The 16,293-nt window shown below is 45.0% G+C and overlaps 1 protein-coding gene across 1 annotated transcript in view; it reads right to left on the bottom strand.

Moving 5' to 3' along the window:
* The window catches only part of RPS6KC1 (ribosomal protein S6 kinase C1), an 811,495-nt gene that overhangs the window by 317,379 nt on the left and 477,823 nt on the right, over nucleotides 1-16,293 (bottom strand). The window lies entirely within an intron of this gene.

Raw genomic sequence — 16,293 nt, 5'->3', positions numbered from 1 at the left:
TCTTGTCTCCCAGGCTGGAGTGCAGTGGCCCGATCTCAGCTCACTGCAACCTCCGCCTCCTGGGTTCAAGCGATTCTCCTGCCTCAGCCTCCTGAGTAGCTGGGATTACAGGGGCCCATCACCACACCCAGTTAATGTTTTTTTTGTATTTTTCATAGAGCTGGGTTTTCGCCATGATGGCCAGGCTTGTGTCGAACTCCTGACCTCAGATGATCCGCCCACCTCAGTCTCCCAAAGTGCTGGGATTACAGGCATTAGCCAGAGCGCCCAGCTGAAACAGATTCTCTCTTATAGCCCTGAAAGAGCCAACCCTATAGACACCTTGACCTTGAAGTTCCAGCCTCCAAAACTGTGAGAGAAGACACTTCTGTTGTTTAAGCCACCCAGTCTCTGGTGCTTTGCCACAAAGTCCTCAAACACTCAGATACCAAGTGTGATGCTGATGAACTGGCCACATTCTTCTGACTTTGCTCCACTGCTCTTCCAATGTTCTCTTTGGAGACAGAAAGACTAGGTCAAGAAGGAATGAGAGAGGAGGCCAAAGGAGAACACCTTCCAAACAGAGAAGACCCTCTAAGGTGAATAGTAAAGGGGGCCACATAAGCTTTCTGAGAGCCACAGTGCAGAAGTGGCAGGTCAGGAGGCTGACACCAGAGGAGGAAAGGGCCACCATGAGATGCAAGCAAAGCCTAAACTCAAAGGCTCCTCAGAACCCAGGACAAAGTATGTTGTGAAAAACATGGTGTGCAAGGATAACCTATATGTAGCTCCATGGCAGGGAGATAGGCCAAGGTGCCAAGAGGGAACACACAGAGGGGCCACGGAAGGATGACTGGATCCTGGACCTCCAGCAAACAGCCACAGCATGCCCTGAGCTGGCAATGGCAACAGAGACACATTCTAGGGTTTTATTTTTGCTTAGCCATTGTATCTTTAAATTCCTGTATATAAAAAGTGTATAAAGAGTCACCCCTAGTAATCTGTGGAATAACATTATTGCTAGAGCTGTAATCATGAGCCAAATGTCTCCTGGAGTCTGTCCTTACTCTATCCTTGACCTCACTCTGCCATCCTGGGTCACAAGTACCACCCTGCCCTCTCCCTACCTCCTGCAGCAGAAGGATTCTCTCGCCTTCACTTTCTGCAGGCTTCCCTTCTGCTCTTTCTCAGGTCAGTCCTTCCATCCTTCCACTTAACCTTATGTGATATGTTTTTACTCTGTTTCTTTCCATTTCTTTCTTCTTCTCCTTCTCTTCTTCCCCTCCTCCTCTGCTTATCATCTTTTCTTTCTTTTTCTTTCCACACCTTGCCCTTCTCTTTGAGTGTGTGTGCATTGATGTTTTGTTGGATATGCTGCAGATGATGAACTAGTGTCTGCCAGAAAATAATGCACTGAAATGGGTTACTTAGCCCTTCATTAATCATTCTAGTGCTGCTGGAAAGTTTAGCAGCTAAGTTAGATCTTTTGTAAAGTGTGTCCTTGGAGTTTCCTGTCACGACCATCCCTAAGCCAAGTCTACACTCTATGTCTGCAAGAAGCAAAGAAAACAGGAACAGGAAAAAAGACTGGAACCCTGAAGTAACTTATACATAATAATCTCAAAAAATTCTAGCCGAGTAAAGTGGACTCAAGGATAGAGCAATTCTTTATTGGGTGAATTGTTCTGAACTGGGATGGTTTCCCAAGGAAGACAAAAGGGATGATCTCTTCTGCTACACTTTTTAAATGGAATAAATCCGCGTTTATCCTGGATGCTTTAAATTTGGCATGGATGGTGACTAAAAGCAGGAAGTTGGGCTTCAATCTTCTAAGGATCCTCCTAACCCCAATTATTAGCCATCACCTCAATCTGAATACTTCCTCCCTGTTCAAATCCCAACCTAAGCTGGAAATCTGGAAGACATGGGTGAGTTCTCCCTCCCACATAGCCCCAAAAGAGTCTGTTAGCAGATCCTGCCCTGTCTTCTGTCTTCCTGTGTTTTAAATTCTTCCTCCTCCTCCCCTGTTGCCTCTACCTTTGTTTAGCATCTGGGTCACTAAAAGGACTCCGTGCCGCTGGCCTCCAATCCATCCTTGGCTGCTGCCTCAGTGATACCATCACACCTTTCCTTGCTCCCCTACTTCTGCAGCTCATTGCTGTCCTCACAGCCAAGCCCAACCCAGCTTTTCAACAAGACTCAGCGTCATTTATGAGCATCTCTAGGCTCATCCGTAACCACTTTCCAGCTCCCGTGGCTATACCCATGTGAATGAATTGCAGTCCTGAATGGGCCATTCTCACTTTCCTCTTTGGCTTATTTGCTGTCCCTTTCTCCTGAAGGTCATACAAATCTTAGTCACCCAGCTATTGCCCCAGGTCAGTTGTCCCTGCTCCTCATTCTCCTTTACAGAGAGCTTTAGCAAAGCTCCTGTCCCACTGTAGCATAAGGGCTGGTTTGCGTGGCCCTCTCCTCACCTGAAATTTGGGAGACCCAAGCTATATCTTTCCAGTGAATTACCTGTGGGATTTAACTGCCTGTTCATGCTGGCACATAATCATGTATTACCTAGTAAATAGCATTCAAAATAATCGCTATTATATGGTGTTAAAAATTACTACAGAATCTATGCACATTGTTGAAATAGTATACTTTCTTAACTATGTCCTGAATGCTTGCCCTGTTGCTCTCAAGACATTAAGAAACCCTTAAGACTCAGACAGTAAGGGACTCTTAAGTTATAAAGTATGCCTAGTTTTTTCATGTTTTACCTCTCATCATCTCTGTAGCTCATGATGCCTCACACATGGAGAATGAAGAGGACTCAAAGTCAAAAATTTAGAGAGAAAGAGCAGCATACACTGAGAGAGAAAGGACACAACCAAAGCTGGAGATAGGAGTTTCTACTTCTGGGGATGCCACCTGTGTTGTACCACTCACTGCAATGGCCTGTCCCATCCTTCTGAAGATGGGGACACTGGCTCTGTCCTTGTTCTCCCCCAGCGGGAGGGGGACTCTGCTCCCTGCAGGACATGTATGCCCAACAAGATCAATGAAGACTGACTGGAATGGACATAGCAAATAACTTTTCCCTCACCTGGTGACTTGGATTGGTGGAAGCTTCCTGGAACACTGTGGTAAGAAAGATTTAGGGGCTGAGTCAGGGCTCAGCAGACAACATACCAAGTTAATCAGCAATGCCTCCCGTAGACTTGCTAAGGAGATGCTGTGCCACAGAGTCACTGTCCTCATGTGGAGACTTTTATAAGTGGATCAATTATTCCTCCTGATCTTTCAACATTCTCAACGGAAATGTATTAAATCGTGTCTCCCTATCCACAGAGGGAGGCAAACAAGGTGGAAAGGAAGAAGACAAAGTCCCAAAGTTGAGGGCTAAGGGAGAAATCTCAAGAACACAACCTACTCTAGGCTCAGGAACTCCTCCACGAAGCTTTGGCCCCAAAACTGGAGATTCCCTGCTCCACCTGGCAAATTTTGCTTAGCCTGCAGCACATGTTCAAAGGTAACCTTTCCAGTAAAGTTTTGCCCAGGCCCTCCCTTTCATGCCATCTGTTCATGGAGCACTGGCCCATGTTGCTCACACACAGCTTGTGCAATGGGTCATATACCATTCCTAGTCTCCACACAGCTGTCTCTCCCACTAGACACAGCACTCCTTGAATATGTGTCCTTTATCTTATTTGGCTCTGTGTTCTCAAAGATTCACCCAGGGCTTTTAATGGTTTGTGGTTATTAAACGTAAGCTTCCTCAAAGGATAGTCTCAGGCATTGTGGATTTTTTTTTAATCAGTAAGCATTATGGATACAGGAATACCTCTTTTATTGGACTTCACATTTTTATGCTTTGCAGACACCATGGGGTTTTTGTTGTTTGTTTGCGTTTGTTTTAACAAATTGAAGGTCTGTGGCAACCCTGCATTGGGCAAGTGTATTGGTGCCATTTTTCCAACAGAACGTGCTCATTTTGTGTCTCTGTGTCTCATTTTGGCAATTCTCACAATATGTCAAACACTTTCATTATTATTAAATCTGTTATGGTGATCTGTGATCAATGATCTTTGATGTTACCATTGTAATTGTTTGGGGGCTCCACGAACTGCACCCATATAAGACAGCAAAACTTAATCGCGAAATGTTGTGTGCCTTCTGACTGCTCCACTAACCAGCAATTCCTTGTCTCTCTTCCTCTTCTTCAACCAGCATTCATGATTCATGAAAGGAGGTTAGGATAGCAACAGTAACAGGAGCTTGAATGAAGTTGATTCCAAACCCCATGGATGACTTTGAGGGTTCGAAACTTCAGTGGAGGAAGGACCTGCGGATGTGGTAGAAATTGCAAGAGAACTAGAATTACAGGTGGAGCCTGGAGCTTTAACTGAATTGCTGCAAAATCTCATGATAAAACTTAAATGGATGAGGAGTTGCTTCCTATGGATAAGCAAAGAAAGGATTTCTTGAGATGGAATCTACTCCTGGTTAAGATGCTAGGAATGTTGTTGAAATGACAAAAAAGGATATAGAATATTCCATAAAATAAGTTGATAAAGCAGTGACAGGGCTTGAGAGGATTGACTCCAATTTTGACAGAAGTTCTACTGTGGGTAAAATGTTATCTAACAGTATTGCATGCTAGACAGAAATTTTTGGGGAAAGGAATAGTCCACTGATGTGGAAAACTTCATTGTTTTCTTATTTTTAAAAACTGTGACCAGACATGGTGGCTCATGCCTGCAATCCCAACACTTTAGGAAGCTGAGGTGGGCAGATCACTTGAGCTCAGGAGTTCAAGACCCACGTCGGCAACATGGCAAAACCCCATCTCTATCAAAAATTACAAAAAAGAAAATCAGCCAGACATGGTGGTATGCACCTGTGGTCCCAGCTACTCGGGAGGCTGAGATGGGAAGATCACTTGAGCCCAGGAGGTGGAGGTTGCAGTAAGCCAAGAACACACCACTGCACTCCAGCCTGGGTGACAGAGGGATACCCTGACTCAATCAATCAATCAATCAATATTGCTCACATAGTCTGGACAACATAGTGAGACCTTGTTTCTAAAAAACTTTTTAAAAGTTATCCAAGAATAGCCTGTAGTCCTTGCTATTTGGGAAACTGAGGCAGAAGGCTGAAGCAAGAACATTACTTGAGCCCAGGAATTTGAAGTTACAGGGTGCTATGATTGCACCACTGCACTCTAGCCAGGATGACAAAGCAAGAACCCCATCTCACAAAAAAAAGGAAGAAATTGCCACAGCCACCCCAACCTTCAGAACCACCACCCTGATCAGTCAGCAGCCATCAATACTGAGGCAAGACCCTCCAGCAGGAAGAATATTATGACTCACTGAAGGCTCAGATCATGGTAAGCATTTTTTAGCACTAAAGTATTTTTTAATTCAGGTATGTACATCTTTTTTTAGACAAAATATTATTGTACACTTAATAGACTTGCATAGTGCAAATATAACTTTTATACGTACTAGGGAACCAAAAAAATGTGTGTGACCTGCTTTATTATGATACTTGCTTTATTGCAGTGGCCCAGAACTGAACCTGCAATATTTCTGAGATATGCCTGTATTTTCTTACTAAGTAAACTGAAACTCGGATCTCTTAATCATTTTGCCCCGATCATTTTAACCAATGGGACTTATTGATCCAGTCCAGTAGATCTACTCGCCTGCTGTTCCTCACTAGAGACAGCTGGGCATGTTGTGCAAGAACAATTCTTAATTTGTGCTTTACTATGTCTATTATTACTTGCTCCAAATAGCACAACCGCAACTTTCCCCAATGTGCATCTGCCTCCCATCTCACTCTGTGAGGACACCACAGGCAGAATTGAGAGCCCAGTCTGGAGCAGGACCCACAGAAAGAAGACCCCAAAAATCCTATTTACTTTCCAACTGGAACGGCTCATGAAAAAGAAACTGCTGTGCTTTGGGTCAGGCAAATGAAGTGCAGCAATAGCACCAACCACAGAGAGGGATGTTAATTTCCCTAATTGACGGGGAGCTTCTATCATTTCAGAATATGCTTATTTTTCTGCAATGAAAACAGGCCAATTTATTCCACTGCTTACAGTGTCAATGTGCATTTGTGAAGTGGAGGTTTTCTCTGGTCGCTGACTTCTGGTGGGTAGCCCATCTCCAGGAAGCTGGATGGATATCAAGAGTTGAGATGAGAGTTCTAGAGCTGACAGTTTTCCCAAGGAAGGAGCAAAAAGAAACAGGCCTGCCTTCATGCAGACTGCATGCTAGAATAGGAAGCCTGATGAGTAGTCAGGCATTCATCGAGCATCTTCAGTTACCCAACATTGCAAAAGAGCCAACGGCTGTGTCCTTTAGTCAGTCACCTCAACTTTCAAAGTCACTTCATCTATAAAATGGGGATAATAATATCTGTCCTGGCTCCATCAAAGACTTGTGGTATAGATGAAATAGTCAATATAAGACCATACTGTAAACTACAATCCTAGCATTCTCTATCACAGAACCCTGTTTATTTCCTTCAAAATAAGTATAGGGTGATTATAGCCCATAAGTATTTTACTTATTCCTGCCTTGCTTAATGTCTATCTATCTCCCCCAGTAAAATGCATGTTCTTCAGAGGCAGGATGAGTACTAGTGCACAGAGCAAACTCGTACTCGATGGGTACTGTCATTTTCCTCCTGCCCCTCCTCAAAACAAACTCATTCCTACCTGCACCCTCTGCCCAACCTGACCTTCTGCTCCAGAAACACCTTTCCCTCATCCTTACAGCAATCTAAACACTATTCTTCCTAGAAGGGCACCTAGAGTCCTACCACTTCTGTGAAATTATTTTCTCGTTCTACCTTAAAATCTTCCTCTTGCCAGGCATTCTTCACCACCACACACACCACCCACAGCCACAGTCACTGCTCCCTCGGCATAGGTGGGATCATGTGACAGGCTTTTTTCCTGTCTTCCTCAAGCCAATGTAAGGCTCAGCTAGGCTCTGATTCTGTACTACCTAATAAGAGATTTCTCACACAAAGAACAAGAGAGCATGTCCTAGAAGAGTCATAATCAAAAATCCTAAAACATCCAGGATTGAAGGAGATGCTGGGCCCAGGACTTAACGCTGCAAATTTGCCACAGGGTTGACATTTCTTTCCTCCTCAGTTATTTCACCAAACTGAGATTTATTGGCCCACCAAACCTGGGAGCCAAGGATCTTCTCAAAGGAAGGAAGTTATTCCTGCTAAGGACCTGGGAGGGAGCTGACCTATCCTCTTAATGGTCAGATGTCCTGATAGGAAAGACTCCTGGGAGTTCCAGTCCCTCCTGATGGGACCATGCTCTCTTCCCCCTTGGACTCCCTTGCTTCAGATGGATCCACCCCAAATCAGAGACTCAGGCTTCCCTCCTACAATGAGGTCCCTGCCTTATTATTCTTCATACCTAATCTCTTCTAACAAAGAAGAAAGCCAAAAAGTGACCATGTTCATAAGAGCCAATAGATATATACAAAGCACCTGGAACCTCATTTGCAGGTCATCAATAATCTAAACATCTCAAGCAGTCAGAACATTTTTAAGCATGAAAGTTATGGGAAGCTCCCAGAGGTATATATCTAATTGCCCCCAAACACAGCAGCCAGTTTGCCCACAAACTCACACACCCACATTCCCTGTGGGCCTAGAATTCTGGGTGACTACCACCAGGCTGTGATGACTTCTACAATATCAAGAGGAAAGAAGCTCACTTGGGACTCTAGCTCAGACTCCTGGTAGGTGAGGGGACAAAAGGACCATTTTTATAAAGGCTTCTGTGTCAAGCAGCAGGCATTGTCACATAATGTGTCTCATTGAGTCTTCATAACACACCTGTGACATGAGTGTTATTATCCCAGGTTTGTTTGCAAACAAGTAAACTGAGGCTCAGAGAATTGGCCAACACACAGCTAGTATGCCAAGATTAAGGTTACAGCCAGCGTTCCAACTCTCAAGTCCAACCCCCTTCCAATTAAGCAAACCAGCTGCAGGGTAAACGCTCCCAGTGGCAATAACTTAAGTATAGCCTTAGAATGGATTGGCCCTGTATGGCAGACTCCCACCTGAAAATGTTTTCCAAACTAGGGAATTCAGGAGTGGCCAACCCAGAGATTCACTCTTTGTCTATGAGGAACATCTGAGCCCCTGCCTATCGCAAGGAGCACGGCCTTACAGAGAATGGAGGCCCTGAGATTTGGATTATATGAAGTTGCCAGGTGGAGGCCATTAAAGGGAGGGTTTGAAGTGAAAATATTATATAAATTGCATGCTCTTTGCAAGCAGTTGCAGCTTGTCTGTCCAGTCCACTGCCACTGCACCATATGTAAGGTGGATATGTTGTCCAGCCTACAACCAATGAATTGTAGGAACGCAGATATCATGTCTAGCCCACCACCACCGGACCAATTCTGTATATCAGGTGGTTCTCCTGTTCAGCCCGCCCCCCACTGGGCTCTCCCCTGTATGTAAGCCCCTAATAAAACGCCATGTCTCCTTCGCTGGCTCTGGGTCTTTTCTTCAGCCTCTTGAACCTGGTGCCTCCCTATTGAGGTTAACAGGGGTTTGGCACAACACCAGCCTCCCAGTTGGGGGCACTGGAGCAAAGGCTGCATATGTCAAGAAGGAAAGAAGATGGCAGCTAGCTCTCGTATGCTTTCAATCTGTTCTTACCCAACCCTCTGCCATCCAGGCCCAAGGTATAAACACACACACTCAACGGCTCACCTTTTATCAAGGTAGGATGAGGTTGCCCCACTTTCCTGTCTTGGTCTTTGTTCGTTAATTTATTCAGTATTTGCTGAAGGCTCACTATACCCCAGGTGTTGTCCTAGGCACTGGAAACCATGCACCACAAACTAAACACCTCTGTCCTCATGCAGTTTATATTCATTAGCATGCTTTGAAATTGTTTTGCTCATTTACTTATTTGCTGATTGTCTGCCCAATGCATAAATTCCGTAATAGAAGGGACACTATCTTTTCCTCCACTGTCAGTCCAGTGCCTAGAATAACACTGAGCCCCCAGAAGGTATTACTTAACAAAACCTTCAAAAGGGGAGCTGTTATTTTAGGCTTTTCCCTTTAAAAGCATCCTCCACCCGCTTTGGATCATTTACTCCGTTTTATGCAGCATAAACAGACCTGAAGGGCCGAAACACTTTGTATCATTTTTTATAACCCTGAACTTGATAGGAACGTTCAGAACTATCTGCCAGATTCTTTGGCTTCATCGTACATATGCCTCTAGCAGATGCCTCCTAAAACACAGACTGGAAAAAAAAAAGTGTTTATAGTATTTGACAAGTGAAGGGAACACTATTGGCTGCCTTCTCGGCCTCCATTTCCCTCCTCTTCCAGGCCAAAAGAACCTCAGCTTTGTTCTCGCTTAGTAAACCCAGGCAGCCAGGAGCCTCTTATCACCCCACCCCCAGCTCTCAGATTGGTCTAAGGGCAATCCTATTCCACAGTGATTGGTTCAGGAATGAGCATGTGACCTGATCCTAGCCAACGACACAAGAGGGGGACTCCTCGCGCCTAAAAGAGAGCCACAGGAAGAGACGGTCTCTCTGGCTTCCTTGGGCATGTTGTGAGTGGTTACCTGGAGCTGTTGCAGCCCTTTTGGTGACCAGGCCAGGAGAAAGCCAGCTCTAAGAATGGCCAAGCAGAAAGATGGGAAGAACCTGCCTCCTCAAAGACATTGCCAAGCCACAAATCAACAACCCTGAATTCTATATACCCTGGGGATTACCTGTTTTATTAAGAGAAAACTCCAGTGGGGTAAGGGTCAGAGGGAGGTAATCTGCAGAGATACTGCACTGAGGACAAGCCACAGAGGAAATCAGACTGAGGGGCTCCCAGGGCCCCAGGCAGATATGATGAATACATGTCTCTAGACTTAGATGAGGTGGGGGACCCTGCAGTGTTATTATGCTTTCTCCTTTCCAAGAATGAAAGCTGTATTACTCTGCTTTCCGTTCTTTTCTGGCCACTAGGAAACTCAACACCAAACGTATTGCTGCATCACAACTGTTTTAACCTGTGTGGTTGGCAATATTTGCCTTCTCTTTGTCTCAGCCAAGATTTTTCTAGTTTTATTCTGCTCCACTCATCTTATTGTATATGGCCACTTCAGATTCTTCCTGAAAAGAGATGTGGTATAAATAAATGAACTGGTAACACAGCCATGGGCCCAATGTCTAAAGAGGAATTAATAAAATGAACCTCCATATGGAGCCTGCTTGACCTAAGCTGATCGGCTTTCTTAATGCAAAATGCACAAATCCCCCTGATGCCAAGCCACTAGGTAGTTTGCAGTGTCAGTAGGTTGTAGGGTACCTTAGAACTCTTCTCAGTGTTGATATAGTATGTCCTCAGTGCGAACTTAATCGTAGGATTAACCATGATTGGGGAGAAGGAGGTGGCAGTGACGCTGAGAGCATGGAAGAGGAGAATGTTACCAGCAGGCTCTGAAATCAGGGTAGCTGTAGCGGGCAAAGACTTTACAAATGAAGTGGAACTTGAGAAGAGCCTTTTCTATTCTGAAGTAAGAGCTTCTTAAGGACAGTGAATAATACTTATTTTTGACTGCTCAACTCCTAGCACAGTGCCAGGCATATCCTAAGTAATAAATTGTTCATCTCTTAATGCTCTTTTTTGTTTTTCTCCCAAGTTTTTAGCATTGGGAAGCATATCAGTTCATATTTCCATGGGAGGAAGGAACTCTGGGCTAGAAATCAGGAGACCTGAGTTCTGGGCCCCATTGCTAAGGAGCTGTGTGGTTTGCACACCAGCAGAAGAGCAGTGGTTGAAGGATGCAGGTTACCTCAGCCTATCTGGATTTGAAAACTTGCTCCTTTTTCTACTCTATCTTTAGGAAGCCTGGTAACCTCTCTGTGGCTATTTCCTCATCTATCAAATGAGGATGAACACCAAGCGGGTGTTGTAAGGATTAAATGAGTTACTATATAGGAAGTGTTTAGAATACTCCCTAGCACATACTAAACATTCATGTTAGCTTTTATGATCTTCAATAAGTCTCTGTGTTTTTCCAGGCCTTAAATTTTGCATCTTTTAAAAGTCAGGCTTGACCTGGATAAGAGACTTCAGATACACAGCATTCACTCCTTTCCCATTCGCTGTCTGTGACAGACATCACTAATTGATCACAGCACTGCCTTCCACTGAGTCCAGTCACAAGCTTAAAATTCTTTTCCAAGACAATACTCCAGGCAGCCACTGTCAGTTTTTCAGAGTTTATGCAAGAAATGAAACCTATTTGCTATCCTGGAAAGAGATCATAAAGATTCTGTGGTTGCCAAAGAACATATACAAGAAAGGTGGGCAAATCATAGAACAGGGAAGGAGTCTGCCTGGATGAGACCTTCAGTGCCATTCCAGGTCCCTTCCTTGATCGACTGGCCCCCTCTAGGCACACAGTGTTGAGACTTTGTTATTCCTCAGCTTCCCCTGGGACAAATGGCTGGACTGTTTTCTCCCTTTGCAGTGTAATTGCAGTGATAAAATGGTGTATAGCTAATTGCTGGGTAGGCCACAAACAGAGCAGCCCCACATGTAATTTCAGACTGGCAGAGACTGTAAATTATTCAACATGATAACCAAAAGATTATAGCAACGTGTGGAAGTGGAGAGAACGTTTCAGGGAAACAAGAGGCTGGCTTTCAAGTGAGGGTAGTCCAAAAAACCTTGTATGAAAGTGAAGAATGTACTTTGGACAGAAATACAATGGGGCAGCTGAAGCTCAGGCCTGGGAGAGTTCTGTGTGTTCTCATTTACCAGGAACGTTAGTTTCCTTGTGAGAATAATAAACCACTACAGAAAGTTACAGTTATCCATGTTCCTTCCAGAGAGACAGGAATGGCCTAGATCACAAGAACCCACAAATAATAGCACAAAATAATATGTACCATATTGATTCTAGCAACCCACATGAAAGACCTTCCATCAAGCCAGAACCTCCTGATTCTTGTTTCTCTGTTAATGGCCCCATTTTTCTCTCAGTTCCTCAAAAGTCTTCTTTTGCTCCTCCCTCTGTCCAAGTCAGTCAAAGTCAGTCATCAGTGCATCCTAGTGAAGGACTTCCCACTCACCTTTTCTTTCCATTCCCACTGCCGCTGGACTCAGTCTGGCATGCACCATCATGGCAGCCCCTGAGCCCTGACTCCCTGGTTCTGGCTCTTCCTGCATGTTGCCACCGTTTCCTAATTTCTCAGGGAGAGCTCTGATCGAAGCACTCTGTACTCAAAAACCTTCCACAGCTCCCACTGCCTGTCAAGTGAAGCCTGAACTTCCCTAGGCTGGCATTAGGGTCCTGTGTAACACCTTTTGGGCCTCACTTTCTCCCACTTCCTTTCACTCTCCCTCTGCTCTCCCCAGATAGCCTATTAGTTGCTCCTGGGACACACTTTCCCCTCTTGGAGACTTTGCATGGCTGTTCCCCACCTCAACAGTGTTCCCCACAGTACCTGTAGGCCAGGCCTAGGTGATTCTCTCAAGACGGTGGCACATGCTGACAATCACCCCCTTGAGTTCCCAAATCCATGACGCAGTTGCTTGGGCAATGGGACACTGCACATCCCCCTCTGAAGGCCGGCAAGGAGCCTGCTCCTAGCTCTGAGATAACTGCTCACTTGTGTTACCAACCACCCATGGCAAGGGCTCCAGCCATGCTCTCAACCTTGATTAGCCTGGCCTGGTGGCAGGGAGGATTCTGTTAGTCTGCTGTTAGCATAGCTGGGGTGCAGTGGAGAACGGGGAGGAAGACGGTTCTTAGTAAGCAGAAACCTCTTTAGGATCCTTTCTTGTCCTTCTTTATCTCCTACTATCTTCAGTGTTGTTCCCTGATTTCCCAAATTACTTTTAAGGCCCTGAAAGTCAAAGCCACAATATTCTGATGGGTTCCAAGTGACTTTTTTTTCCACAGAAAAACAAACCCAGCCAGCTGGGTGCGGGCTAAACCGTAAGCCCCTCCCCCTGTAACTCCTGACCTATAAATCTAAGATGGAGAGAGTTATCCTAATGCATCCGCAGTTGGAAATCAAACCCTCACCACCATCACTTTATGCACCTTCAGGATGGGGCTGCCTTGGCCGCTCCCCACCCCTTCTGCCCATCTGCTGGGATGGCTTGGTGCCCGCTCCAAGTTGGTTGGAGCCTATGGAGGTGCCAGGCAACAATGTGTTTTGATGGGCAGCCTGCAGAAGGGGGCAATTGCCATCTCTTGTGAGTGAAGGCCGTAAGCGCTGCTAGCCCTGGCATGCCAGGTCTCTGTACACTTGTTCACACCTGTTGACTCTCCAGTGCCAAGAAAAGCATACTCGAGCTAGGAACGAGGGTAGGGGGAGATGACACTCTCCAAGCACCAGCCTCTTTGGGTTTCCTTGTGGGGACAGATAGAACTTAGGGAGATTTGGTCAGCGAGTTTCAGACCCATACCTGGGTCCAGCACTGGAATTGCTCAGTGGCTCTTTGTCCTCTAATGTTAGTCTGTGCCCACTCAAGGAAAGGTGCCCAGCTGGGAAACCGCAGCACAGGTACAATTCAATACATACACAGCCTTATCTCTAAGCCAGAGAAAAGAGGAAAAGAGAAGGCCATGCTGAGTTTAGGAAACTTCTTTCCACTGATAGCCCAAAATGTTTTAAACTTTGATATGTCTAAGTCATCAGGAGGCTTCCGCTTCCTTGCTCGTCCAGCTGTCCTGGAGAACTGCTGTTTTCTAGCAAGGACAAGAGATTAGCTCCCAGTCAGGCAGAACTGGTTATGTCACTGAGCTCCATTTATTGACCCACTGACCTTGAGAAAGTTACTGACCTTACCTGTGCCGTAGGCTCCTCATCTCTAAAAATGGGGGTAACCACACCTGTCTCCTTGGATTGTTACAATAATGAAATTGGACAACATAAGTGAAGTGCCTAGGGTGGTGCCTGACACAGAGTAGGTGCTTGTCACATTAAAGTTTCCTCTCCTGTCCTGTCTTCCTTCTCCATTCCAAATAGGAAAGGTGTTTCAGGAGCCAAACTATATTATAGATATCAGTCCAGGAATAGGTCATGGGACTAAATAGCAGAAGAAATTTCAAGAACAGTTGCAGCGGGGAGTGGCAGCAGATGGCAGGAAAAGAAAGAGATGGAAACAGGAGAGGAGGGAACCGGGGTTCCCTTTCTAAAAGGCACCCTTCGATCTCTGCATTACCATGTCAATGCCTCATTCCAATAATGGCTTGGCTCTGAATTCCATCCCCACCTCAGCTCAGCAATGTCTTCCTATTCCTTCATTCTAACTCCTCCATAACAGCTGCTTCAAAAAAATAACAATTAGCAAGGAACATATATAGTGAATTCTCATGATCTAAGTGTCCAATCTGTATACACAAGACATTCCTCCACAAAGCCCTTGACATTCTCTTGTTCATTATTCTGGAGTGTCTGCAAAACATCAGTGGCAGGACTGAGCAGAGTGAGGGTGACATGAGGCATGCCTTGTCCTGCCCTTCAGGCTCTCAGGTCAGGAGGCAGAAAGGAGCTCAAATTAAACAGGCCAGGCCAGATGGAGGCTTCAAGCAAGCCACAAGCAAGCAGATCTGGGGAAACATGACGTTAATGGATCTCTGCCCTTCATGTTTGGCCAGCACTCATGTGCCAGCCTCAAGAGTCAGGTCCACCTCCTGCTATAAGGCCCTTGTGAGAGTAGGACCATATGCATTCCAGGAAGAGGCCATGCTTACAGATGCACTTATTAACTGTGAGAGCCTCGTCTGCATCAGAAGCATGAGAAGCCATGAGAACTACTCTATTTGGTTAGCTGCTCTGACTCTACTAGAGCTACATCAGTGGAGGCCCATTGAATTTGAAGGTTAAGTGACATAGTTGGGGACAGACCTGGAAGCTGGAATGTCATGTATAGGAACAGGATCTTAAGTCTATAGCTGAAAGCCTGAGAGAAAATTCAGGTATGCCAGAGATGCCCAAGGCATTTCCCTGAGTAACTGCCCTAAGTACTGGATGACGTAGGTGAAGAAGAAAAGAAGCAGCAGCAAAATATTGGAAAGAAATGCACAGGCAAAATCCTGTCTGCTTCCTAAGGTAGGGGAGATGGAAAAACAGGAGATGGGCCAAGGGATGAAAATGAAAGAGCTAGTCTTAGAAGTGGAGGATAAATGACGAGTTAATGGGTGCAGCACACCAACATGGCACATGTATACATATGTAACAAACCTGCACGTTGTGCACATGTACCCTAAAACTTATCGTATAATAATAATAATAATAATAATAATAATAATAATAAAAGAAGTGAAGGAAAATTCTCGTAGGGGCTGTTCCTGAACGCTCAGGACTTGCAATAGAATGTGGGCCCCCAAAGCTCTAAGAGGTACAAAAGGTGCCAAAATAGAATAGATGGGATGAATCTCCCAATCTCAAGCAAAATCTAGCTTTGAGATCCACAGGAGACCCAGAGGAGAATTGGCCTACCAGAAACTAATCAATTCAATTCACAAAACATTTAGTATATTCCTACTGTGAGTCCCATGCCAGGGATCAATGGTGAGCTAAAACACACACAGTCCTGACTCTCATGAAGCTTAAAGTAAGCCCTGGAGTCAAGATGCCTGCATCCAGAGCCTAGCAACTCCACTGAGTAGCTGGGTGAACCAGAATAAGTTATGCGAGCTCAATTTCCCTATCTGTGAAATGGGAATAAAAGTGCTATTCCATTGCAAGAGATATACCAGGATTTAATCAACAATATCTAAGCATGTTACAAATTTTCATGCTTCAATAAACATCTTTGTGTTTCTGTGTGTATGTGTATGACTTTGAAGACTTGTACAAGGATCAGTTCTTAGAGTTGAAATTGCCAGGTTAAAAAAATGTACATATTAAAAACATTTTTTAAAGTACTCTTGGTCTGGCTCCTCCATCTCAGTCCCATCCTGCATCCTGCTCTCCTTGCTCTCAGCAATTCCTGTACTCTGGCTTTTCACAGACCATGAATTCATCCCATTCCCCACCACCATGGAGGCTCCATGCTCCATAAACTTCTCATTTGAAACATTGTTCTTCCTTCTTTGCCTGGTTAGCTCTCCCGTGATCCCCCCAACTAAGTCAAATCCCCCTCCCCATTATCTTTTCTTAAAGCACTGTGCGCTTCCCATTTATGGCACTTACTACAGTTGTAACTTTATACTCTTTGTGTTAATTGATTCATGTCGGTCTCTTCCAGTGGATCATAAGCTTGAGAAAGGCAAAAATTGTG

The sequence above is a fragment of the Homo sapiens genome, chromosome 1 (assembly GCF_000001405.40).
Source record: "Homo sapiens chromosome 1, GRCh38.p14 Primary Assembly".
NCBI lineage: Eukaryota > Metazoa > Chordata > Mammalia > Primates > Hominidae > Homo > Homo sapiens.
The sequence above is the reverse complement of the archived record's forward strand: the minus strand, read 5'-3'. Positions and strand labels throughout refer to the sequence as shown.